This window comes from Homo sapiens, chromosome 3 (genome assembly GCF_000001405.40).
Source record: "Homo sapiens chromosome 3, GRCh38.p14 Primary Assembly".
In the NCBI taxonomy this organism is placed as follows: domain Eukaryota; kingdom Metazoa; phylum Chordata; class Mammalia; order Primates; family Hominidae; genus Homo; species Homo sapiens.
Window position 1 is genome coordinate 58984427 of NC_000003.12, and position 27154 is coordinate 59011580.

The 27154-nt window shown below is 38.0% G+C and overlaps 1 protein-coding gene and 1 long non-coding RNA gene across 29 annotated transcripts in view, besides 1 other annotated feature; one reads left to right on the plus strand and one right to left on the minus strand.

The window, feature by feature from the left end:
- Positions 1 to 27154, minus strand: part of CFAP20DC (CFAP20 domain containing) — a 333853-nt gene that overhangs the window by 268254 nt on the left and 38445 nt on the right. For 3 of the 28 annotated variants that reach the window (NR_147235.2, XM_047447658.1, XM_011533457.2), the window contains one exon: positions 8082 to 8189. The exons of the other annotated variants lie outside the window; for them this stretch is intronic. The gene's annotated coding sequence lies outside the window, so the exon portion shown is untranslated. The remainder of the gene's footprint in view (positions 1 to 8081; positions 8190 to 27154) is intronic. 28 annotated transcript variants of the gene reach the window in all.
- Positions 1 to 27154, plus strand: part of CFAP20DC-AS1 (CFAP20DC antisense RNA 1) — a 194623-nt gene that overhangs the window by 159956 nt on the left and 7513 nt on the right. The window lies entirely within an intron of this gene.
- Positions 13552 to 14751: an enhancer, noted in NCBI's record as "P300/CBP strongly-dependent group 1 enhancer chr3:58983704-58984903 (GRCh37/hg19 assembly coordinates)". NCBI's record gives its function as "activates an origin of replication core promoter dependent on BRD2, BRD4, P300/CBP, MED14 and CDK7 cofactors, with strong dependence on P300/CBP, by STARR-seq in HCT116 cells {active_cell/tissue: HCT116}" and the evidence as "EXISTENCE:reporter gene assay evidence [ECO:0000049][PMID:35650434]".

Consider the following 27154-nt stretch of genomic DNA (forward strand, 5'->3'; position numbering starts at 1 on the left):
GACACCAGCAAACTCTGAAATGCAACGAGCAGAATCATCACACTGCAGAGAGATGTAGCCTAATGACATGGAAAGAGATGCCAAATCATTTTTAACTTTAGAGGGTCTTGCCTTGCAAGATTTAATTAGCTTACAGTTGAGAAGTAATTTGACATTTCAAATTATAGTTATTTAAAGACTCTTGAATTGCTCATCATTTCACCTGATAAAACTGCAATATAAGGAGAGTCCCATGGAAAAAATGATTAGCATTAAAACAAAATCTCTACAGAGAAGGAACAAAAAGAGTGAAAAGAAAACCAGCATGGGAATCAGACAGCATTTGGATATAGCACCACAGGTGTGATGTTGGGTGGGCTATTACTGAACTTCTCTGAGGCTTTCTCATTTATAAATTATCACTTACAGAGTTTTGTGAGAGTTAAAGGAACTTGGTAAAGTTGCTGGCATGGTGTGATTGCTCAATAAATTTTGGTTACTTTTTTTGGGGGGCTGAGGGGACAGGATCTCTCTCCATCACCCAGGCTAGAGTGGCATGATCACAGCCCACTGCAGCCTTGACGTCCTGGGCTCAAGTGATCCTCCTGCCTCAGCCTCCTGAGTAGGACTGAGGCACTAGGACTGGAGGACTGGGACTACAGGAGCGCCCACAATGGCCAGCTGATTTTTCTTAACTTTATTTTTGTAGACAGGGTTTTGCTATGTTGCCCAGACTAGTCTTGAACTCTTGTGCTCAAGCCATCCTCCTGCCTTGGCCTCCCAAAGTGTTGGGATTACAGGTGTGAGCCACTGTGCTGGGCCAATTGTGGTTCATTTATTAATATTCTTCCTATTCTCTTTTTATACTAACACTGAAAAATTTCTCTGAGAGTCCCCATTTCTGAAGTATATTCCTTCCTCTTCAACTCTACTCTTGCTTTTCAATATCCATCATCCCTGGCCTGATTGACTGCAACAACCTCCTAATTACACTCACCATATCTAGTTTTTTTTTCTCAGCAACTTAACACATCTTTAGAAAAATAACCAGCAATGTTATCTTCCTAATTCATAAAAACTATCAATCCCTTGCCTACAGAATAAAATTAAAAAATCGGTGCCTATTTCTTCAGATCCATCTATCATCACTTCTCCACTCACTCCTTATTCTCCAGCCAAACCAATATACTACACTAGTAGTGTGGCTTTTATACATGTTTATCTCTCATCCAAAAATGCCGTGCTTACCATTTGTGATTTTTTACTTGTTCTATGAAACCCGTTAGCAACATCCCCTATTCCATCAACATACCTCTAACTAAAAGGCAAAAATAAAAACTCTATTTTATTTAAAGTCTTCATAGCAATTATATATACTTCTGTTAGCATTTCTCTCACTGCATTCTATTTGTTCTATATTATTCTATTTGATAGTCTATGAACTCACTAAGGAAGGGAATTATTTCTTATTCATCTTTGTATCGCCAGGGTCTGGAACAGTCTCTGGAATCTTATACAGTACACATTGAACAGACACTGGATGAGAGAATGTCCAGACAGTTTTCTCTAATAGTTCACTCTCATTCCCAGTTCAGCCTGTAAGCTATAATTACATTTCTCACTTTTGGCTAACCATTTGTTTTCCTTTATTAGAAACTAAGGGATTTTATCAACATGAACTGAGCTAATGAATATTCCCTAACTGCTACAAATACATAGTCTGCGAAAATATAAGAAAAATGAACCTTCAATTCATACGTAAGTTTGAAAGATAAAATAGGAAGTTGATTGAGTATCAGAATAAAGAGGAAATAAAAGCCAGGGCCAGTCAGCTATCAGTTGATGCCAAAGTAGGGTATGTGTTTATTGGGGGATGAGCTATCTAGCCTAAATGTATACAGGAACCAGAGGGTTAATATGTGTGCATGTGTGCACAGACACATAAAATTATAGATGGGGGCCTCAGGATTGTAACATCTATAGTGAGACAGTAGATGTGGCCTTGGGCTTAAATAAGGTGGGAAGCTAGAACTGAGCCTCCTGCAGAAAGCCAGACCTTGGAATTACTGCTCCCTCTGTGAAAGGAGTTCTAGAAACTTCTGTATGGAAAATCAAAAACAAACTAGCAAAAAATAAATAAAAAATAAATAAGCTTGTCTCTGTCCAGGCTTTGGGTTGGGTTGAGTAAAAAGTCGACTGTGAGAAATTAAGTCCTTAAGACCAAACCATGTACATGACCTGAGTTTGACTTTAAACTACCCTTGTGAGGGAATCCCAAGCTGAGAAAGACATTTAAAAACTCGTTCTATGTCAGTAAAAGCCTTGACGTACCCTTTGAATAAAATGCAAAGCTTTTCTAGGGGGACATACCAGCAATCCATGCTACAGGTACTCTCACGGAAAAAACGACCCCCAATAAACATAAAGTCACATTCCAAAGTTACTAACTACACAAGGAAATGATACACCATGAGGGAGAGTCAGTATTTATAATAGGAAGAGTCACTTCTTTAGAACTTCAGAGAACAGAGCAATTTGAAAGTCACTGTAAAATATGTTTAAAACTATAATAAGTAAATAGGATACCATAAACAACAAATTTGAAAAAGAGCCAAATAGGGTTCTAGAAATTGAAATAATTTTTTAATAAAAAAGGACCTGCAAACAACATATTAAACAGAGCTAAAAACTTAGTGATCTGAAAGAAATTACTCAGAATGGAACACAGAGAGATAAAGGAAGAAACAAGGAGATGGATGGGATACAACTGGAGTTAAAGCTTTCTTAGGTAAGATGTTTGTGTTATAAGAGAATGAGCTATTAATTTCCTACTTTAAGTCAAATATGAGTGTTATAAATTTAAGGGTAACCACTAAAAGAACAGAAATAAAATATAACTTCCAAGTGGTCAAGGTTAAAAAATAAGAATCATGTACTACATATAACAACTTGAAATTAATCTAAATGTATAGCCTTAAATTGCCTATTAAAAAAAGTAAGATTAAGCTTCCTGGGTTAAGCATTCAACTCAAAAAGTTGGAAAAACAATATATTACAAAAGTGGAAAGAAGGATTAAGAAAATAATTGAAATGGAAACTTTGAGAGTATTACCTAGAGCAAAAATATGATTCTTTGAACAGACCAATGAAATGCAAAACCTCTGAAAAGATTAAGTAAGAAAAATATACAATATTAGAAATTTAAAAATACAGTATCAGCATTGTACAGATACAGCAGAGAACAAAAAACTGTATATACTTTTACATATATAGCTATCTATAAACTCTCACATAACTCTTATAACTCTATACTATTAAACTGGAAACAAAATGACACTTCTAGAATATTATAATTATTAGAATTGACAAGAGAAAAAAATAGAAAACTTAAAAATACCTATAACCATTAAAGAAATGGTATTGGTGGTTAAAAATCTATCCACTAAAAAGCACCAGGTCCAGAGGTTTTAAAGACAAGTTCTACCAAACCTTTAAGGAACCCAATACAGATTGTTTGAGATATAAAAAGGATTAAAACACCCCAACTTAATTTATCAAATATAATTTTATCATAAAACTATGTGAGGATGACTAGAAAAATTATAAAATAATCTAATAATGAATGTATGTGTCTACAAGTCTTAAATAAAGGAAAGAAAACTCAGTCTAACAATGTATAAAAATACCATATTTGATGACCAACAGAGGTTATGGTCAAGAATGGAAGGAAGTTTAAATATGAGAATATCTGTAATGTCATCCATGACATTAACAGACTAAAATCAAAAACATATGATCAACTGGACAGGTGCAGAAAAAAAGCATTCAATGAAATTCAACACCCATGAATAATAACAAGCTTTAGCAAACTAGAAAAGTAAGCACTTTAATCTATGACTAAGTTATATTTTTAGATCCTGTATCAGTCAAGACGGGTTATACCAAAGTAATAAATAACTCCCAAATTTCGGAAACTTAACATGTAAAAGATTATGTCTTCTTCGCACTACATGTTCCATGGGGCAGCAGGAGGTTCTGCTTATTCTGGTAACTCAGGGACTTAGGCTGGTACATTCTTCCATAATCAGCAGAGCATTGAGATGGGAACAGGGACATTTCTAAAGCATCTTCCTAAAGTGACATATGTCAGCTCATACTCATCTTCACTGGCTAAAGCAACTACTTCACCATATTTCCTTGTCAACTGTGACAAAGATTTCTGTAGTTTGTAAGCTACTCAGTTTATGATACTTCGTTAAAGCAGCCCAAATGGATTAAGACAATATTTCTGAATCTTCAGTTTCTCCTAAAGAGAAATGTAAATATAAAATATGTAGCCATTATTACTTCTAAATTTTCTTCAACCTCTAGTCTTTTTTCTAAATCACTGTCATTTAAAAATATTTCCCATTTTAGTCTGATTTCTGATTATTACTTTGCAAATGGAAGCCTGAAGAAAAAATGATAATTTGCCAAGAGACCATCAATACCCATGGTTCCAAATGTTATGATGATGTCTTTTGCCAGGAGTTCATTTCTAAAATATTTACATTCTGTGTTTTTTTAAAAACTATTTTTCCAGGTTAGATAACACAAGATGAAATTAGTGCATTGCATTTAAACAATACTAAATGTAAAATTAATGATAAACTGGCAGAAATAATGAAAAATCATGAGTAAAAGTCAATATTTTAGTCCTTTCATCACTGAAATCAATCAAAATCCGAAATTTCCACTGTGCCTTTTTTTCTTTTAGAGATTTACTCTTACTGTTACTAAAATTAGGACTAGTTGAAAAATCCAGATGATGATGTATAAGACACACAGAATCTAGGTCATTCTATCATTGGCTCTAGATCTGCAATACTAATAGCAGAGCTTCTTATGTAAAGAAAGCAAATATACAGAATTAAGATAGCAAGGAAGCCAATGTACTTAGTAAGAACATGCTGTTTTTAGAATTTTTGCTAATGATGATTACATTTTAAATTCTTCCTAGAGTTTCACTGGATACAGCATTACTCATTTCCTGTTTTTAAGAAGTATTCAATATCACTGAAGTATGCAAAGATGACACTATAAGTAGTTCATGACCAAAGATTTCAAGATTCATTAATAAACTTTTTTAGATATTCCACTCTACCTAAGGAAGATAAAATTTTGTAATATAAGTACATTCCAAACAAATCTATAAAAGTGAACTTATGAATAAAAAAGTAAAGTTTGACTTGTATACTGCTTTAGATAAAATAAACAGAGGCTCAGTTTATACTTCACAAGCAGATGATTATTTTTCAATATTGGAAGTAAATTATTTCCATAGTCTATGTAAAAAATTTAAATGGCAGTAAGATATTCTGACGAAGAAAATTTATTACAAAATTAATGCTTACCATATATGGCTTCATTTGGATGAGAGCAAGAAATGAGCCATTTATTGATTTATTATTAGCAAAGCACAAGACAAGGCATGAGCTATAGCAGAAACAGAAAAAATCATGACCTCTGAGAAAGGTGGTGGTCAAGAGTTTCAAAAGAGTCAAGAGTTAATCCTGTGGATAAAGTATAAAAATTATAGTAAATGAAAGTAATTTGTATCAAGAGAAACTCCCAATGGAATTAAATGCCTAAGAGGTGCCTGCAATGTACTGATGAACAGCATGTAATAAAGACAGGAGCACAAGGAATGCATTTTGTGTTCTCACAATGCCCTGGAAACACTCTGAACTGCAGTCCTGATCAGCCCTCAGAGAGGTCCTGAGATGAAGAAATTAACAACTCCAAAGAGACAGAAATACTGGCATAGTAAATTAAAGTAGAAATGCCTTCAAACAATGTCTAGCCTCTGCTACTAAGGCTACTAGCTTCTGCTATGAAGATGTAAAATAGAGCTGGAATTCTTTGTTTATTTATTCTTCTTCCCAAGAATAACTAATGAGTTGTAGTTGGTTTTGTATACGTGTATTAAAAATGCCCGGTTTTTGTCTTGTTGCTAGAGAAAAGACACTGCATCTACTGCTGCTGAGGAGTTCTTTGAAATACCTGAAGTACTGCACAGAGTAAACAGGAGCTTTTCCAGGTCCTAGAATGCTCTTTATATGGCTTGCTCCTCATCCTTTGAGTCTCAGTTCAAATGTTACTTTCTTAGAGGTACTTATCCTGACCATTTTTCCTAAAGTAGATCTTTCTGTGTACTTTCTTATTGCAGGGCTGAGCATCCCAAATCCAAAGATCAGAATTCTGAAATTCTCTAAAATCTGAAACTTTTTCAATGCCAACGTGATGCTCAAAGGAAATGCTCACTGGAGCATTTTGAATTTCAGATTTTCAGATTTAGGATGCTCAGCTGGTGTGTGTGTGTGTGTGTGTGTGTGTGTGTGTGTGTAATGCAAATATTCCAAAATCTAAAAAAGTCTAAAACCTGAAACATCTTTGGTACCAAGCATTTCAAATAGGAATATTCAACCTGTGCTCTGCGCACTTATTTCTTAACACTCACTTTGTTATTTTTTTTAAAAACCTGCTTTTCTTTCCTGGCTCCATACCAGAATGCAAACTTCATGAAGACAGAGATTTTATCTGCCTTGATAACTGAAAATATTCTCAGCAACTTTACTTGGCACATAGTGGGCTCTAATACATATTTATCAAATGAATGAATTTCCAATATAAAGAAAACATTAAAAATATCTTTTCTAGGTACACAATCATGAACACTTGAATGAATCAGTATGTCTTTTTTCAAAGGAAAGCATTTACAATATTTTCTTTCCCTTGAGGTCTACATTATATAAATTCCAATTGTGGTCCACATCCTTAACAAACTGTAGTTGAACCAAATACTCATCAGTAACCATCTCCAACCAGATTTCTTCAGCTGTGACCTCTGACAGAGGCTCAGTAACAAACTGCTTACCTCCTCCTAGGAAATTAATGATGTCTTCTAAAGGCTACATATGAAACAGCATGTTCAATAAATATTCACTGAATATTAAATATTCTTGAATGTTTGAACCTCAATATGAATGAATCACACTCCCCTCAAATAATATACTTGACTTCGATTACCTTCATGGTCTATATTTGCTTAAAATATATCCCTTAAAACATCAGTTCCCAACCTTTTTGGCACCAGAGACTAGTTTTGTGGAAGACAATTTTTCTATGAACGGGGTAGGGGGAAGTTATGGTAGTACAGGGAGGGGATGGTTTCAGGATGAAACTGTTCCACCTGAGATCTCAGGCATTAGATTCTCATAAGGAGCACACAACCTAGATCCCTCACATGTGCAGTTCACAATAGGGTCTGCTCTCCTACGAGAATCTAATACCACTGTTGATCTGACAGGAGGCGGAGGTCAGGTGGTAATCCTCTAGCCCCTGTTCACCCCCTGCTGTGCGGCCCGTTCCTAACAGGTCACCTACAGGTACTGGTCTGTGGCCCAGGGCTCGGGGACCCCTGACTTAAAAGTAAATTAGGTTTTACAACAATTATTCTAGATAAGTCAGCAAAATAAGGAAATTTCAAGTAGGTTCAAAATGTTACTGATTTAGCAACATTATTACTGCTGCTAAACACATAGTAAGCAAACTATTGTTATTAAGTTCTACAGTATTAAGTATTTTGTTTCTATAATGCTTGTGGCAACCCTATGAAATGGGTTAGCATTGTTATCCTCATTTTACCAATAAGAAACCTGGGGCACAAGAGGTTAAATGACATGCCTAGGGTCTCAGCCAGCAAATGGTAAAGCTGAGATTCAAACCCAAGCAGTCTGATTCCAGGTTGTGTGCTGTTAATCACTAATTTACCCAGTGCGATTCTAAGATGCCTGCCTGCAAATGTATTATTACCAGTACCTGACCAGGTTAAGCACAAAAATTTAGATTGTTCAGAAACTTATATACCAATTTGACATTGCTGTAACATCCAAGTATGTGATCACTGGGCTCATCCACTGGACAGGGTGATTGGGGTTGTCAAAGGCACATGGGGAGTGAGTGGCATATGGCCCTAACTATGTACTGGCACTATGTACAGTCAGTTGAATGACATATTGGTCAGAAAAACAAGAAATTAAAATGAAAGAAAAAAACCTCACCTCGTTCTTCAAATGGTTTGAGAAGTCCTAGTCTACACTAATCTCATTTGAATTGTCAGAAGATCTTCATATCTCTTGGGAAAAGAATGCTGGAGTATCACATTTTGCCTGCCTCCATCAGACAATAAATACAAAAATAATTTTGAAATTTGTTCAAATTTACATTTATAAATTTAGTACATATTTTAATGAAGACATTATATAAAAACATTTGAATATGTAATATATAAATAATTTGTTGCTCTTACTGCATGAAAATATAATGCTTAGTCAGGTAAGGTATGTAAAAAATATCTACATAAATATCCATCCAGAACTGGAAGTTTTCAGTTTTATCCAAAAAAGGGGAAAGCTTATTTTAAAATAAAATACATACTTTATTTTAAAGCTTATTTAAAATAAAAATACATATATAATTTACATTTTTAATTTATAAAACACCCCTGTCCCTCAAAAACAAATTTCAAGAATCTAACTCCTTGTTTTGGCTTTAAAATGATTTGGCAAGTGATTTAAATCAGATCCGGAGCTACAAAGGAGAAAAACGTGGGGAGTACTTTTCCAATTGAGGAATTCAAACTGTTTCTAAAATAGAATAGTAGTGTTGAATATATCTAACACCACAGAGGAAAAAATGAAATATTCCGTATATATTGATTTTCTACATAAACTATGCATTATTCCCTTCATTTTTAATAGAATGCTTCCTAAAATGCAGTACATATTTCTTTTTTTTGTAAATGCATTACAAACTTCTTTGTAAAAAGAGCATTCTGTCCGTGATTCAGAAAACTTTCAACAAAGCCTGTAAACTCTGAAGCAGGAAACCAGTACCGTGTGATTGACTGAAATAGAGAACGCTGTTTACCCCTAATTCTGGCCTCTTCTCTAGTTATCTTCATGGTGAATTTCTTTTTTTTTTATTTCCAACTTTTAAGTTCAGGGGTACCTGTGCAGAGTGTGTGTTTGTTACATAGGTAAACGTGTGTCATGGTGGTTTGCTGCACAGAACATCCCATCACCTAGGTATTAAGCTCATCACCCATTAGCTATTCTTCCTGATGCTCTCCCTCCTCCCATTCCCCATCCTCCAACAGGCCCTAGTGTGTGTTGTTTCCTTCCACGCATCCATGTGTCCTCATCATTCAGCTCCCACTTATAAGTGAGAATGTGTATTTGGTTTTCTGTTCCTGCATTAGTTTGCCGAGGATAATGGCTTCCAGCTACATCTGTGTCCCTGGAAAGGATATGATCTTGTTCCTTTTTATGGCTGCATAGTATTCCATGGTGTATATGTACCATTCTTTCTTTATCCAGTCTATCAATGATGGGCATTTGGGCTGATTCCATGTCTTTGTTATTGTGAATAGTGCTGCAATGAGCATACATGTGCAAATATGTTTGTGATAGAATGATTTATATTCCTTTGGGTATATACCCAGTAATGGGATTGCTGGGTCAAATGGTATTTCTGCCTCTAGGTCTTTGAGGAATCATGACACTGTCTTCCACAATGGTTGAACTAACTTACACCAACTTCATGGTGAATTTCCAAGGAGACACTTTCATCTGCCTCAATCAACCTTTCCCTTTCTTGCCTTTCCATTTAAATAAAAACCTATCTTCCTAGGTAACTACAGAGAGGGAAGAACTACAGAGAAAAGAAACATACATGCACACAAACACATGTATACCTTGCAAGCTCAGCACACACTGAGCTTAACTGACACAAAATTCCAAGTCAATGGACTTTGCATTTTCTTAAAGCCTGCAGTGCTCTCATTGCTCACAGGCCTTTTTCTGCCTGCTTCTGAGATTCATTACAGATGGCTAAGGCTGGAAGTATGATGGCTGGATAAGTGGGGCATTACTTGATCTTCTATCATTCTGGTAAGAATTCTATGAGGCAGAGAAAAGGCATATGCCATTATCCTCATTTTTTTTTTAATGGGGAAACTGCAGCACACAAAGAAAGTTAAGTAACTTGCCCAAGGCACCAAGCAAATTGGTGTCAGAGAATTCAGGTCTTTAAAACTGTGTTCTTCTCCTCGTCAAATAACAATAATGCCTTCCCCCTTCCCCCAGTTTTTCCCACACTTGTTATCCAAGTACAATATATATCTAAATTGTATTTTATGCATTTCTAGACACCTCCAATCATCAAATTATAATTTCCTATTATGTTTTATTTGAAATGTTAGCTTTTAAAATGATATCCATAAATCTTTCAAACATGCAATTAGCAGGAAGAGGAGAGAAAGGATGGTTGGAAATAAAAAAAAAAGAACAGTTTCAATGACTTTGCTCGGGTAAAGAACCAAAAGACTTAAAAAAAAAAACAAAAAGCAAAACCAACAATTCCGGCAGGTGAGGGAAGAAGGTTCTTTGTGACAGGGTTTTGCCTCTTTGCCTCCTTATGCAGCAGGGGGAGCTATGGTACTATTCGTTAAGGTTACAGGAAGACAACAAGTCTGAAAAAATAATCCAATTCGCTCCTAGGATATCCATTTTCTTTTGCATTTTCAAATGGTTCTTTTCTGTTTTTGAAACGTTTTTCCTCCATGCCTTGAGAACCTCAGGCTGCACTACCTATATCCCTTTTTCTCTGGAATGACAGAGGGTTACCACCTTCGCTGTACATCCTTATGATGTCATTTTGATAAAGATATTAGGAGATACAGTTGCACAAAGCAGCCTGCCTTCCTCTGCCCCATCACTCTATAGGTTTCCTCCATAATTTATCAAATCTATTTTTTAGCCCAAAAAGAGGACTCTCCTGCAACTGAAAAATTCCCAGAACAACCACTGGCACATGTCTTTACATTTTCAGTTGCAATCCATCAGAAATGATTGTCAAAAATATCTCACTAAAAAAAAAAAAAACACTATTTGTAGAAATTTTAAAAAATTTATTCAAATAATAAATTAAAATGTTTCCAAAAGTAGTCTAAGTAATTAATTTTGAGTAGAAAAAAATCTTTTTTAAGAGTTTATAGGAATCAAAGAATTTCATCCTTATATAAGGCTGCATCTAACATTACTGTGAAGATCAATTTTTTTTCAACTGAATGGGCTCTTGGGTCCCCAGAGATTTGGTTAAACATTATTTTGGGTGTATCTGTGAAGGTGTTTTTGGCCGAGATTAACACACAAATCAGTAGACTGAGTGAAGTAAATTGCCTCTCAAATGTGGTTAGGTCTCATCCAATCAATTGGAGCCCTGAACAGAATAAAATGGTGGAGTAAGGGAGAATTTGCTCTCTCTGTCTTTTTAGTTGGAACATAGGTCTTTTGCCTTGGGACCCTTCCAACTTGGACTGGAGCTTATACCATTGGCTCTTCCAGTTGTCAGGCCTTCAGACTCAACCTGGAACTATCTATTGGTTCTTCTGACTTTTCAGCTTGCCAGACTGTAGGTCATGGGACTTCTCAGCCTCCATGACCACATGAGCCAATTCTGTATAATAAATCTATCTATCTATCTATCTATCTATCTATCTATCTATCTATCTATCTATTGTTTCTGTTGCTCTGGAGAGCCCAGATTAATATAATTACTAATTTCATGTTAAATTGCTTTGGTATAAATGAAGCAGAAAAAAAAAAGTGTTTACTTACAATATTCCCTTCTAGGTAACAACACCATAATTGGGTTTTCCAGTAAACAACAGGCATAGTTTCCAAACTTATTTATACAAATAAATCTCACCTGTAATAACTGTGCTTATTTTTATATATTTGACTATAAATAGATGCTAATATGGTAGCAAAAGAGAATGAGGATATCACCTCTGTGTCTTCCTGATATCTGGGAAAGCCCATTCTAGGCTTCACGTAACAACCCACATGGCTGCCTTTATCTACTCTTCCTACCAGAAAAATATTTAAAACCTTTACCAAAAAAACAGCTGTGATTTATCTTGTTTGTAATTTTTAAGATACAGATAGATTACAAATAGATGTATAATGTATGACATACACACAACTTGAAATCCACAAACTTCGTTATTTGCTTCCTCTTAATAAGTTCCTTTACATAGACAGCCTTTTCAGGTCAGAGTATATAAACAAATGTACTGACTGCCTACTATATCCTGGGCCAGGAAAACAAAAAGTGTGCTATGTGAACTGTTTATTGCTGATCTACAGAGAAAAAAAGAAGCTAGAGCTGGAACGTAAATTAAATTTATCAATAAGCAAACATTTTTTTCCTAGCAAGAATTTTCCAAAGAAGGAAGGAGAGTGCTGATTTATATTGTGGCCCAAGTTCCTTATCTCACTGTAATGGCAACTTTGAGTAGCATTGTTCTAGGTAATTCTAGATGCTTTTGAGACAGCCAGGTGGGAGGGGTTCTCCAACAGGCATGCCCACTGGGAAGAGCGCACACCGGGGTGGAGCCACAGAGGTTCGCACCTTTTGCAGCCGGGAGGAGCCTGGCCCCTCCTCTTCCTGTGTGGAATCTGGGATTCAAGCTGTGGTGGGAAGCACTCCAGGAGGGACTCTGGCCTTGTGGAGGATTACTGTTTCCCCTTTTCACCCAAAAAACTCCTGCTTTACTCACCCTTCAAACTTTCTGTGAGCCTAAATTTTCATGTCCCTGGGACAGACAAGGACGCTGTCTTTAGCTGAACTAAGGAAAAGTCCTGCAACACTTTCAGATGTATTATTTTGTTATTTACAATGGCTAACATTTATTTAATTCTATGTGCCCAATACTTGTACTAACTCATTTAATCCTCATTAAAAAACTTGTGAAATAAGTACTATTAATATTATTATCTCTACCCTATAGATGAGAAAAATGGAAGCACAAATGTTAAACATAGTAAGTAATGAGCTGGGATCTGGCTCTAGAACATGCTCTTACCACTTCACTATACTGCCTCCTTTGAAATCTGAATCCTCATGACAATTCAGTGAGGAAAACAATGTCGCCATTTAAGAGTTGAGAGACAGCACTCCTAGATTGTTAGCTTCCCAAAGACAAAGGCTGTACTAATTGATTCTGCATATTCTCTCTAGAAGCCTCTAATGATGGCCTCAAGCTCATAGGCATTGTAGAGAAATGCAGAAGTGTCATGAAACATGGCCTTCTACTCTCATGAAGCTCACAACCTCATGGAAGAGATACTACCAAGTACAAAGTGGAAGGGCTGCTCTGCCCTGGGCTTGGAAGAATGAATGTGAGGATCAAAAAATTATTTTAAGGACCTCTAAGCCTTGAAAGTAAACAGGTCTAGTCTTGTAAGACTGTAAATGCCCACATGTCTTATTCTACCATTTGTACACTAATGAGATACAGGAAGAGGGACAAATAAGTAACTCTCGATAGCAATGTACAGACTGTAGGGTCTGTCTTCTGCCTTGGGGAGTGGGTATAGGGGGGTCCAGCAAAGAATTAGACAAATAAGATCCCATAGAAGGCAAGGTCAAGACAGTACGTAAATTTATCCTACTCTCCAAAAGTGGGATTGAGAGCTTCAGAGTCCACAGTCAGTCTTCCACAGAGTTGGCCTCTGTGATTTGAATAAAGTGATCAAAAGCACTAGCCCAAGCTTGAAGGTTACTGTAACCAAAGTCTTTGGACTTTGGTAGCTGTGGGGTAGACAGCTGTCTACGGGCAAGTCCTTCAAGGTCATGGCAGATTCTGCAGAAGTGGTACAGACTGCAGTAGCAGCAGTGAAATAAGCTCATTAAGTTTAGGAGGGACCCTCTCAATACATGTCTTCTGAAGTAGTAAAAGATTAGGAGCAAAGATTCTGAAGTCTCATAGGTCTGTTTTAAATGCCCATTTTGTTCCTTGCAAACTGTATATGACTGTGGAGAATTTAGCTATCCTCTGTAAGCCTAAGTTTACTCGTTTGTAAATGGGTGATAACAATATCAAACTCATGGGATTAAACTATATGACACCCACCCATACAGTACTTAGCATAGAACATGCCACAGACTTAACAAAACAACTGATGCTTTACTGCGTCCTTACCATGTGCCAGGAACCCTTTTAAGCTCTCATGCCTATTAACTAATTTATACTTCACAATAATCCTATGAGGCAGCATGGTTGACTACATTATTAATCACAAACAGCCCCTGCTCCTATCTTTGTGGAGGAGGATATAGCCCCACCCTGTGACTCTAGGGTAAGCCATGTGATAGACATTAGTCAGTGGAACTGAGCAGACATGACTCAACAGAAACTCTCATCACGATACTGGCCCTGATGATGACGTGTCCCAGAAACAGGAGCTACTCTTCACTCTGCACCGTAGAATGAAAAAGAACAAAGATGCAGTCTACCTATTGCCCACATGTCATGAGCAAGAAATAAATGCTAGCCATTAAAAATTATGGAGACTTGTGGATTATTTGGTATTATTACTAACTTCATTTTCTGTGGAAGAAATTAAGGCACACAGAGGTTAAGTCCTTTGTCCAAACTCACACAGCTGGTGGACAGTTAAACTCCAAACTCCTGCACATTAACCTCTGTTACCATCATCTTCACTGATGAGGACTGAGACACCTAGGGAAAGTTTATTAGCAGACAGACATGAGAGGGAGATCCAGTGATGCTAGAGGAAGAGAAGAAAGCAGATCAGCAGTCCTGGTATTTAAATGTGATAGAGCTGCAGATCTGTAAGTATGGTAAGAGTGGATGTTATTGTGAACACACAGATTATGGGAGACTTGAACAAGGTCAGTGGAACATATGCTTTATGTGGTGGAAAATTAGAAGCCAGTGATGTCTGGGAGGCCAGGCAAGAAGCCATAAGACAAACAGGCAGCCAAATGGCCTTGAAAAATGCCGACTAGAGATAGCAGCAAGGAGGCTGCTCCAGGCTTCAGACAAGGAGCTAAGATAGGGTGGGGACAGTGGCAGTGTCAACAGAGGCCCACTGAGTAACAGGAGACCTTCACTGACTATCTGAATGTAACAAGAGTCACATATCCAGCCATGCTTGTTAAACGAAAGGAGTGAGGGATAGACAAAGGGGCCTAAAGACTCAAGCCTGGGACAACTAATACCATAATGATGGTATCCAGGCCTGGAGTTATAGATCTTGCACAATTAAATGGACTCTTGGCCCTCTCCTTGGACTGTTACAGTGAATCACTAGAGCTGACTCAAAAAGGGTCTTAATAGATCTTAACAGGACTTCAGGGATTGTACCTGGTGGTAGTTGGCAATTGACACACTAGAAAATACAGTTTCAACTCTGAAAATTTAGTATAGAAATACTACATCTGAATTTTCTTCCTTTGCTCTTTTGCAGTGTATTCTATTTACTGTTGCCATGAAAACTGTCAGAGCCAAAAGGGAGTCACTAATGTAAAAAAAAAAAAAAAAAAAAAAAAGAACCTGACAGAGCACGGGAAGGCCACAAAGAGAGAGGGTTCTTATGCTTGCTTATGCTTGTATGCCTCATAATTAAACAGGCTCTACAGAAACCACAACCTTGCATGAAGGCCATCACAACCATATGGAATAAAAAAACTCTGCAAGAACATCTGCCCAGAAACTGCCTGTCCAACCTTGAACTGGTGTCACCCTTGATCTTGCAGCCAGAGATAATTATTTCAAAACAATTATGTAATCTCCTTCATTTCTTCCTTTAAAAACTTTTGTCTTCCTTTATCTCTCTGAAAACACACATACTTTACCATGGCATATGTATATTCTCATTGCAATGCTTCATTCCCAAATAAACATCTTTTCTTTTAGCGAGGCTCTCTCTGTTATTTAGGTTGATACTACAATACCCTCCATCTGCATGAGATTACTGAGATGGCCAGGAGTGGGTATGGATAAAGCTTAAGGCAGAGGTGTGGTGGTGAAGAAGAGATGTTTCAGCTTCAAATTCCAGTCAAAATCTTTAGCAGTCGAATCTAGCTGGAGTCAGGGAATCTGAGCATGATCATGGTAAAGACAGTAATGCTTGTGTTAATTTTTTAAATAAAGGAAACAATAACCTGATAGTAAGATCTGGAAATAAAATCTTTACCAAGGTAGACAGGGGACTATGAAGAGATTTGGAAATGCTGATGGAGGCCCTCCAACTTGAAGTCAGGGGAAACTGGAAATATTTCAGGGCCTGTCAAGTCATGAGACAGTGGGCACTCAAGGAGAATCGGGAAGATTTGAGAGGTTGAAAATTCAGATGAACAGAAATGGAGGCAGAGAGTGGGTGGCAATTGGAGGGCATACAGGATGTGAAGAACAACACAGAAGGTTTTGTTCCAGGGATGAGAGTAGAGTGTGTTCCCCTCCACAAACAGGAAGGCCCATTTGGAGAGTTTCTGGAACAGAAACCTCAAGAGATACCAACTGAGTTGATATTTAGGTGAATAATATATGAAAAATATCACAGTTTGGAACTCAAATTAAGGTCACTGACTGGAAATTCAATCATAAAAAGACATCACCCAGTGAGAAAGTATAAAAGAAAACTTGATAGGGGGAAAAAGGAAAATGGATTTAAATTAAATGATGAAAAATAAGAATTAACTTATTAATTCCAAGAAGCTTAAAAAAAATTAAATGTTACTAAAATAGGGTGCATATTGGAATTACAGCAGTAAGAGTTAGTAAAGAGAGCAAATTCAAAGAGCTGAAGCCTGCCAAAGGGAAAGAGAAAGAAAGGAAAGAGACCTAAGAGATTTAAATCAATGGTAAAATAACACACATTGTAAATTATAATTTATGTACTTAATTTCTATACTTTATCCTTGAAGATTCTTTGATACTACTATAAAAATACAAGGCCTGATAGACTGCCTCTATAGGACTGTATAGATCACCAAGAAGGCATACCACTAGAGGAAAGGGGGTGGTAATCTTATGCTTAGGAGTTTGGCCTTTGAAACAGTCTCTCCCTCTCTCCCTCTCTCCCTCTCTCCTTCTCTCTCTCCTCTCTTAAGTTTCACACTTATTGTCCAGGCTGGAGTGCAATGGCTCAATCTCAGCCTCGATCTCACCCCAACCTCCGCCTCCCAGGTTCAAGTGATTCTCCTGCCTCAGCCTCCCGAATAGCTGGGATTATAGGCATGCGCCACCACGCCCAGCTAATTTTGTATTTTTAGTAGAGATGGGGTTTCTCCATGTTGGTCAGGTTGGTCTCGAACTCCCGACCTCAGGTGATCCACCTGCCTTGGCCTCCCAAAGTGCTGGGGTTACAGGTGTGAGCCACTGTGCCGGGATTACAGGTGTGAGCCACTGTGCCCGGCACAGACAACCTTTTTCTAATCTCGCAAAAGCAGGGAATTAGCCAGGCAGTAGTCTGATTAGGGGTGGCCTCAGGGAAGAAAGGGAAGTACCTGATGTTACTATAGTAATCAGTGGGCTTCCTGGGCTCTCTGCCAATTAGTGTGGCTTGAGCGGAAGGACAAAAACGTGACATGTGGTAAAGAAGAGATTCCAAAACAGAGACATTCTAAATTGAAAAAGTGAACTATTAAACAAAAATGTAAGTAACTTTTGGCATTTTTTAATACCGGGTATATACTAAAATGCCGTGTGGTTGGCCACCATCTTAATCGTTTACCTAGGAGGCAATATCATGAAGTTAAAAGTCCATGGATTGTCAGAGCCTGAAAGAACTGAGTTGGGGATCCCAGCTCTGTTATCCCACTGACAAGCCTTCACAAAGTTACTCGCAGAGCCTCTGTTTCCTCATCTACAAAATGGAACAAAGGGGAATAAATACCTCTTACTCCCAGTAGTTGAGGATATGATAAGATGAGTGTGTGGCACACACACATGCTGAATAATTAGCTTCCCTCCTAAGGGATACATGATCCCACCTTAAGGGACATATCTCCAATTTCTAAACAAAAATCATTTGGAAAAATTAATGCTTCTAAATGGCATAACCAAAATGACTTTATGCAAGCAAAGCAAGTAGAAGTATTTCTAAATGTGAAAACATCTACAAAACATCTATTCAGTAACTTACATACTAAGAACTATCACTGATGATACTACCATTTTGATTTTTAAAAATATCCATGTACACCCTGGTCATCATAACAAAAAGAAAATAAAAGTTACTCACAAATTAACATCACAGAAAGTACTAAATTTTATGTTCCATTATTCTTTCTCTCAACCACAAATCTGATCTGATATGTCTGGTGTTATCTCCAAGTGCAGCAAAAGATGCCAAATCAATGTTCTCAGACTTATCAATGAGGATTGGTTCTATTTTTCTTCAACTTTCTTCCTCACTCAAAGAGATGTTATTTTAAGTAAATATAAAAAAGAGAGCATTTGTGACCTTCTTTTAACAAGAACTAGTATTTGCCTAGTTTGAAAAGCACTTCTTATCATCAAACTTATCCTCACATTAAGGAGGCATTTTCATTTTCTCCTTTTACATCTAAAGAAACTGAGGCTCCCAGAAAATGAAGTCACTTGCCCAAGGTCTTGGTTACTGACAGAGCTATAATGCATCCAAGATTTCTGACTGAATATCCAATGTTCTTCCCTACAGTTATATGATGAATCTAAAAGACTTATTTTATAAGCGTTTCAAGAGATACCAGAGGGGGAGAAATATACTGATTAATCACACTAAAAATGCAGCACAGAAGGGATGAAAAAAATGAAAGGCTTTAAAAATTATGAAATAGTGTAGATACCACTCTCAGTCATCTGAAGGTAGATATTTGTTTTATACATTGTAACAACCTAGTTGCTTATTTCTCTCTATTTTTTTTATAAGACAACAGATAGAATGGGTGGATGGAGGGAATGAACTTTTGCTGCACATCTATTAAACAGAAACAACTTATTGGTGGTTGTAGGTGTTATGCAGCCTAATCTATTTAAGAGATTCAGACACAGACTTAATATCTGGCAAGTCAGATGTGCTTCAGAATAGCAAGTTATAGGCTGCTTTTAGATGTGCTTTAGAATAGCAAGCTAAAGACTGCTTTTATAGTTGGATTATATTTATAGTACTATTCATTACCTTTCTAAACCCAAAGTCAGATGTATGCCAAAACAATCCATAGGTATCCCCATAAAAGATCCAAGTTAAGAATATCAGAGATACAGTGTGGTTATAAGCCTATATACAAACAGACGAAATCTCAACTTACTAGGACAAAAGTCTAAAGACATCTGTTATCTGTTTTCCAGACATGATATGAAAATGGAACAACTGATGTAATTGCCTAAGTGACAGACTATGCCTGATAATGGTAAAAGTTGGTCAATCCTGACTTTGCCACATTATAGCATTCCAGGAAAAGTTTGAAACTAACTTGCGGGAAGAAAGTAGAGGAACCTATAATGAAAACAACACATAGTACATACAATAGGATGAAGGTTTTCTAATTTCACTTTAATTTCCACCAATTACTAAGGGCTCTTTTCAGACTTGCTTTTGTTTAAACTAAGTGCAGAAGGAGCTCTCCTAACAGACCCATTGGATTAATGGACACTCTTCTCTTTGTGAAACATACCTACTTTTGGTGCCCTTGGCTATTCTCACCTCATAAATGTCTTGATATAGTTACAGGACAGGGCTTTTACTGTAAATACTTTCAAATAGGGCAAACCTATGAATGAGGTGCTGATCCAGTTTTAGGACAAGGGGGTCAAGCTAGAAAGAGAAAGAACATAAACTCCATGAGGACAGGAATTTTCATCTGTTTTGTTCACTGATGTATGTTAATAACCTGGATCAATTCCTGATGTATAGCAGGTGTTCAATAAGTATCTGGTAAACAAGCAAAAGTCTGTAGCACCCAACATGCATCTGAGGCACAGGAAGAAGGCTCTTCCTGCTTCTTGGAGGAAGCAAGAGACATATTTTTCAACCATAAACAAATGAGAGCATGGAAGTGTTTTATAAAATATAAAGTGACATACTAATTTAAGGAGTTACTATTATTAACATTAATTATTATGGTAAGATTTGTAATGCCCTCTAGCATTTACAGATAAGGCCACTATAATGGAAAATGTTCCAGAGTCTCCAAGCAACCTCTGGCTTTGCACAGATTACCAACTAGAGGCCCACGTTCCAAATCTGACTCTTGGATTTGGTCAACAAGTTATTATCTTTTAAAAAAATTAGTTACCAACCTCTAAAAATTAGAAGTCGTCATTAAAAATTGTTAATTTCTTGATTCTCTTGAGAAATCTGAAGATTTGGTAAACATGATCTGCTTTTCTACTTGGTAACAGTCAGCTGTGGCTGCATAGAGGCCCCCACCTCTTTAACTGGGGTACAAATTTTCCACTGCATAATCCCCACAGCTCTGTTTTGTTCATTTCCAATATCTGGCTAGTCCTGTGTAAACTTGTGATTTGAGCATCCCCACATTAGTGGATACCAACCACAGAACTCTGTCTCCAACATCTAGTTCTAGGCCAGAGAAAGTACCTTATAACAATGAGATTCCTAACTACCTATGTAACCAATCCCCTTTGGCTACAATGGTAGGATAGCCCTGATTTTTTACCCCTTACTCTATCCATACCTTTTGTCCTGTAATTTTGTAATGCCTTCTCCTTGGGCACGGTATTATTTGCTATTTTTTAACTTGGGGTATGGCCATGAACTTGCTTTGACCAACAAAATGAGGCAGAAGGGATGGTATGCTAATTCTGAGCCTAGATCTCAAGAGACCTTGTGTGTTTTTGTTCATTCAGTTGTGTCTCTACCAATGCCATGGGAGGGGCCTTGGTGGCTTCTGTTTTCCTTGGCCTCAGCTCTAGAATGAAAACATGTGGAGCAGACCTTACTCCAAACCTCATTGAGGAAGCAAGTCCAGCCACATGCACAGTTCAAGCCTATTTGCCTAGCCAGGCCTAGTAACTCCAACCTGCCCACAGATAAATGAGAAACAATACATAATACTTTTAAGCTACTGACTCTTGGAGTAGTTTGTTATGCAGAAGAAGCTAGCTGATACAGACAAGTTTCAGACAAAGTCACCTTACATAACACTATGTTCTGTGGTAAAAACTACTCTGAGAGACTATAATATACTTAAAGTGTACCATGTGTAAATTTTTCTGTCATATAATTTTTATATGAATTAAGCTTTCCGCTTATATTCATTTTATATCACTTTAGATAAACTAAAATGATGTGAATACTGATAACATCTTGCTTAATATCCCACCACTATATTTCTAGACAGACAATAACTGTTACATAACTATCATTAGCTCTTATTGTCATAAAAATTTCAATATATTAATGTAATTAAATGTCTTCATCATCTGTTTCTTAGTCTTCTTTGGTGGTCGATAGAGACTACATTATTTGCGAACTAATCAAATTTAAGTATTGATTACTTTCATTTCTAGATTTGATGAGGCTGAAAAGATATGAAGTAGTAAATCCTCATTTACAAAATATCCTAGATACATAGAATTAGATGAAAACAAATGTGGTTTTCAGTGACTCAAATCTCTCATTTATTTAGGAAAGCTAAAACTAACACCTTATAGTAATTTGGGCATATAGAGGAAGGGAAATAATTCACAAGATGGAATTACTCCTCAATGAAAAGTACTTTTAAATATCCCTACATTTATATGTGTTTTTATAAATATGTAATATACTGTGTATATGTATATATACACACATCTATACATGGAAGGATGGATGGATGGATGGATGGATGGACGGGGAGGAGGGGCGAATAGGTTAGAATGTAGACAGTGGCAAAAGGCTGCTACTGTCATCCCAGCAACCAGAATAAGCCAAGAAAACTATAAAATCATGACGTTAAAAAGCCATCAGAAGGAGATGGGAGGAAGATGGTGCCCAGGAGGCAGGGCTAATGTGCACCTCTCACTTGGAGAGACTGAATAATGTGTGGAGACTCACACCATGAACTTTCTTTCCAAGTACCACTGCAGGAATCTACCAGGAAAACTGGAAGAATTCACAGATCCTTTGAAAGAAGCAGCATGCTGCTGCAAATTCTGCGAGACAGGCAAAAAACTGTGAGTTCCCAAAGTGTGAGGTGGGGAATCCTGCCTCTGAACACACATCCCCACTGGGGAATCTGAAAATCCAGATCACGGGAGAAGGACTTAACCTTACCTACAGCTAAAACAGATTTGGGGAGCTGAATGAAATATAAAAGTAGAAGCAGTGGCAGGAAGAGCCTCGTAGGCAGTCCCATTCTCCAGCTTGAGCCCAGGGAAGCCAACCCTGACAATATCTCATAGAGGCCCTAGGGGAAGACAGCCAGCAGAATTAGGGAGGGGTCACAAGATGAATGAAGCTTCCAACTAAATTTTGTAATAGTTTCAACTGGACACAAGCTTTCTTGATCAGAATCTGGGTGGGGAGCAAATGGGAACTGTTACAGATGCAAACACAGGAGCTGCTGACATTGTAGGCAGACTGGGAGGCAAGGCCTGAAAGCCTTGCTTGCTTTCTCAGCGTGGAAGCTTATGGCCTGGGGCAGGTCTGAGTTTTGTGAGCAGGCTAACTGGAGCTAAACTCAGTGCTGTTAGTGGGGCACTGCGAGAGCGAGACTGGCCTTGCCAACTGTGTGGAGCTGGGTGAGGCCTTTTGCTACTGGATGTCACCCACTTCCCTGGCAAACTATACTGCACAGCAGAGGTAGCCATACTTCCCTCTGGAACAAAACCCCATTGGCCTGAGAACCACCCCCAACTCCCCAACAGTGGCTGTGGCAAGCCCCGCCCCAGGAGAGTCTGAGCTCATACTCACCTAATCCTGCCCCCATCTGAAGGTACTCCTCTACCCGCCCTGGTAGCTGAACACAAAAGACATAAACTCTTGGGAGCTTTGTGGCTCTGCCCATCACCTAAGAAACCAGAATACTTCCCCTGGCCAACTTAAGAGTAAGCTTAGATCTCCCTTCTACTACTGCAGCTGGCGCTCTCTGGAAAGCACCACCTCCTGGCTGGAGGCCAACCAACTCAAGCCATTACAGCAACTCATGACAGAATAATCTGGCTCCCAGCAAGGAGAAAACAACAGCTATGGCTAACAAGAGGGCCTGAGTCTGTCCATGCGACAACTTCACTGCTAGCATAACCAGCATTTGAGAAAGCCAGAAAACTAAACATGTCTACAACTAAGGACTCTCACAGAGCCTACATCACTGCCGTGCTACCTCCACCAGAGCAGGTGCTGGTATCATGGCTGGGAGACCTGACGACAGATCACATCACAGGACTCTTTGCAGACATTCCCCAGCAGCAGTCTGGAGCCTGGTAGCCCTGCTGGGTGGCTAGACCCAGAAGGGCAGTAACAATCACTGAAGTACAGCTCTCAGGAAGCCTCATCCCTAGGGGAAGTGGGAGAGCACCCTATCAAGGAAAAACCCTGTGGGACAAAAAACTCTGAACAGCAGGACTTGGGTTTCAGATCTTTCCACTGGTAGGTAGTTTCTCATAGCAGAGAAACAATTGCAATGTGGGGAGCAATAGGGAAAATCTGCACCTATATCCCAACAGACAGGCAGCCTCTGTGATCATGAAAGGCATTAGAGAAAGGGTCCTTGTTCCCCCCAGCACTCCATTGCAGACACAGCTGGGGCTTCCCCAACAGAAACACTGGATGCACTTATAGACAGCCTTTCTGGAAAAATCCAGGGTGAGTGCAGCCCCACAGAAGAAGCACACCCCAGATTCAGGCCGACAGAGGAAGAGTCACAATTCCTCCCTACTTGGAACATCAACATTCCTACAGATGAAAAGAGATGCCTGTCTGATGTGAATAGCTAAAACACAAGGACAGGAGCGAGGCTGTGAGGTGAACAGCTTTCCTGGTGACCTGGCATGGGAGCTCTGGTAGTTCCTACTCTTAACCCTGATAAAACCTAATTAAGAGCTTCCCCAGCCACACTCATCAAGGCTGGGACCTCAGCCCACCACTGAGTATTACATCTACCCACCTGCCTTCACCACAACTGGTGCCTACCCAGGAATACCTTCGCTATTGACTTGAAGCCTGAACGATAGACTGGATTAAGAAAATGTGGCACATACACACCATGGAATACTATGCAGCCATAAAAAATGAAGAGTTCATGTCCTTTGTAGGGACATGTATGAAACTGGAAACCATCATTCTCAGCAAAACTATCACAAGGACAAAAAACCAAACACAGCATGTTCTCACTCATAGGTGGGAATTGAACAATGAGAACACATGGACACAGGAAGGGGAACATCACACTTCGGGGACTGTTGTGGGGTGGGAGGAGGGGGGAGGGATAGCATTAGGAGATATACCTAATGCTAAATGACGAGTTAATGGGTGCAGCACACCAACATGGCACATGTATACATATGTAACAAACCTGCACATTGTGCACATGTACCCTAAAACTTAAAGTATAATAATAATAAAATTTAAAAAAAAAGTGAGAAAACAGTAAACAAATAAAGTGTACACCATGAGAGAACAAGATAAGCTTCAAGAGATCCCTGCCATTATAACTCCACAGGAGACAGTGAACCCACCCACACACCAAGAATATAACTACTACCACTCACCAGCATTGGGGAAAGCCAGTACACAAAGACTTTCTATAACTAAGGATCTCATACAAAGTCTTCACTCCTACAAGCACCAAGAATCAAATTAGGCTAAAATAAACATCAAAGTCTGGTCCTTAGGAGAGGAAAAAAGAAATTTAAATTTAAAAAACCACAGTCCAACCAAAAATAAATTCAAGAACAATTTTAAGAAATAGTCTAGCCAAATGAGAGGGAACCAGAAAAATAATTCTGGTAATATGACAAAACAGGGTCCTACAATACCCCAAAAAGATCACACTAGCTCCCCAGCAATGGATTGAAGTAGAAATCTCTGAATTGCCAGATAAAAAATTCAGAAGGTTGATTATTAAGCTACTCAAGGAGATACCAAAGAAAGGTAAAAACCAACTTAAATTAAAAAAACATACAGGATATGAATGAAAAACTTTCCAGAGGAATAAATATAAAGAAAAAACAATCACAACTTCTGGAATGAAAGACACATTTAGGGAAATACAAAATGCAGTGAAGTCTCAACAATATACTAGAACAAGTAGAAGAAATTTGGGATTATGTTAAACAGCCAAACAGAAGAACAATTGGTGTTCCCGAGGAAGAAGAGAAATATACACATTTGGAGAACTTATTTGAGGGAATAATTGAGGAGGGCTTCCCTGGCCTTGTCAGAGACCTAGACTACCAAATACAAGAAGCTCAAAGAACTCTGGGGAAATTCATAGCACAAAGATCATCACCTAGGCACACAGTCATCAGGACATCTAAAGTCAAGACAAAGGAAAGAATCTTAAGAGCTGTGAAACAAAAGCATCAGGTAATCTATAAAGGAAAACCTATAAAGTTTCTAGCAGAAACTTTACAAGCCAGAAGGGATTGGCGTCTTATCTGTAGACTCCTTAAACAAAATAATAGCCAAGAATTTTGTATCTGGTGAAACTAAGCTTCATAAATGAAGGGGAGAATAAATCTTTTTCAGACAAACAAATGCTGAGAGAATTCACCACTACCAACCCAGTACTACAAGAAATGCTGAAAGGAGTTCTAAATCTTGAAACAAAACCCTGAAATACACCAAAATAGAACCTCCTTAAAGCATAAATCTCACAGGGCCTAGAAAACAGTAACAATGAAAAAAAACAAGGTCTTTAGGCAACAGCTAACATGACAAATAGAATAGTACCTCACATCTGAATACTAACATTGAATGTAACTTGCCTAAATGCTCCACTTAAAAGATGCAGAATGGCAGAATGAATACAAATCCACCAACCAAGTATCTGCTGTCTTCAAGAGACTTACCTAACACATAAGGACTCACATAAACTTTGGGTAAAGGTGTGGAAAGAGATATTCCATGTAAATGGAAACCAAAAGCAAGCAGAAGTAGCTATTCTTTTATCAGACAAAACAGACTCTAAAGCAACAACAGTAAAAAAAGGCAATAAGGGATATTACATAATGATAAAAGGATTAGTCCAACAGGAAAATATCACAATCCTAAATATATATGCACCTAATACTGAAGCTCCCAAATTCATACAACAATTACTACTAGGCCTAAGAAATGAGGTAGATGACAACACAATAATAATGGGGGACTTTAATACTCCACTGACAACATTAGACAGGTCATCAAGACAGAAAGTCAACAAAGAAACAATGAACTTAAACTATACTCTAGAACAAATGGATTTCACAGATATTTACAGAACATTTTACCCAACAAATGCAGGATATACATTCTGCTCATCAGCACATGGAACATTCTCCAAGAAACACCATATAATAGGCCAAAAAACAAGTCTCAATACATTTAAGAAAATCACAATCTTTTTAAATAACCTCTCAGACCACAGTGGAATAAAACTGGAAATTAAACTCCAAAAGGAGCCTCAAAATGATACAAATAAATGGAAATTAAATAAGCTGCTATAGAATGATCTTTGGGTCAACAATAAAATCAAGATGGAAATGAAAAAATTCTTTCAACTGGACTATAATAGTGGCACAACTTCTCAAAACCTCTGGGATACAACAAAAGTGGTCTTAAGAGAAAAGTTCGCAGCATTAAATGCCTGCATCAAAAAGTCTGAATGAGGCCAGGCATGGTGGCTCACGCCTGTAATCCCAGCACTCTGGAAGCCCAAGGCGGGAGAATCACTTGAGGTCAGTAGCTCAAAACCAGCCTGGCCAACATGGTGAAACCCTGTCTCTACTAAAAATACAAAAATTAGCTGGGCATAGTGGTGCATACCTGTAGTCCCAGCTACTCGGGAGGCTGAAGCAGGAGAACTGCTTGAACCTGGGAGGTGGAGGTTGAAGTGAGTCAAGATTGCACCACTACACTCCAGCCTGGGTGACAGAGCAAGGCTCCATCTCAAAAAAAAAAAAAAAGTCTGAAAGAGCACAACAGAACAACAGACAATATATGTCACACCTCAAGGAACTAGAGAAACAAGAACAAATCAAACCCAAACTCAGCAGAAGGAACTAGAAAACAAGAACAAATCAAACCCAAACTCAGCGGAAGGAACTAGAGAAAGAAGAACAAATCAAACCCAA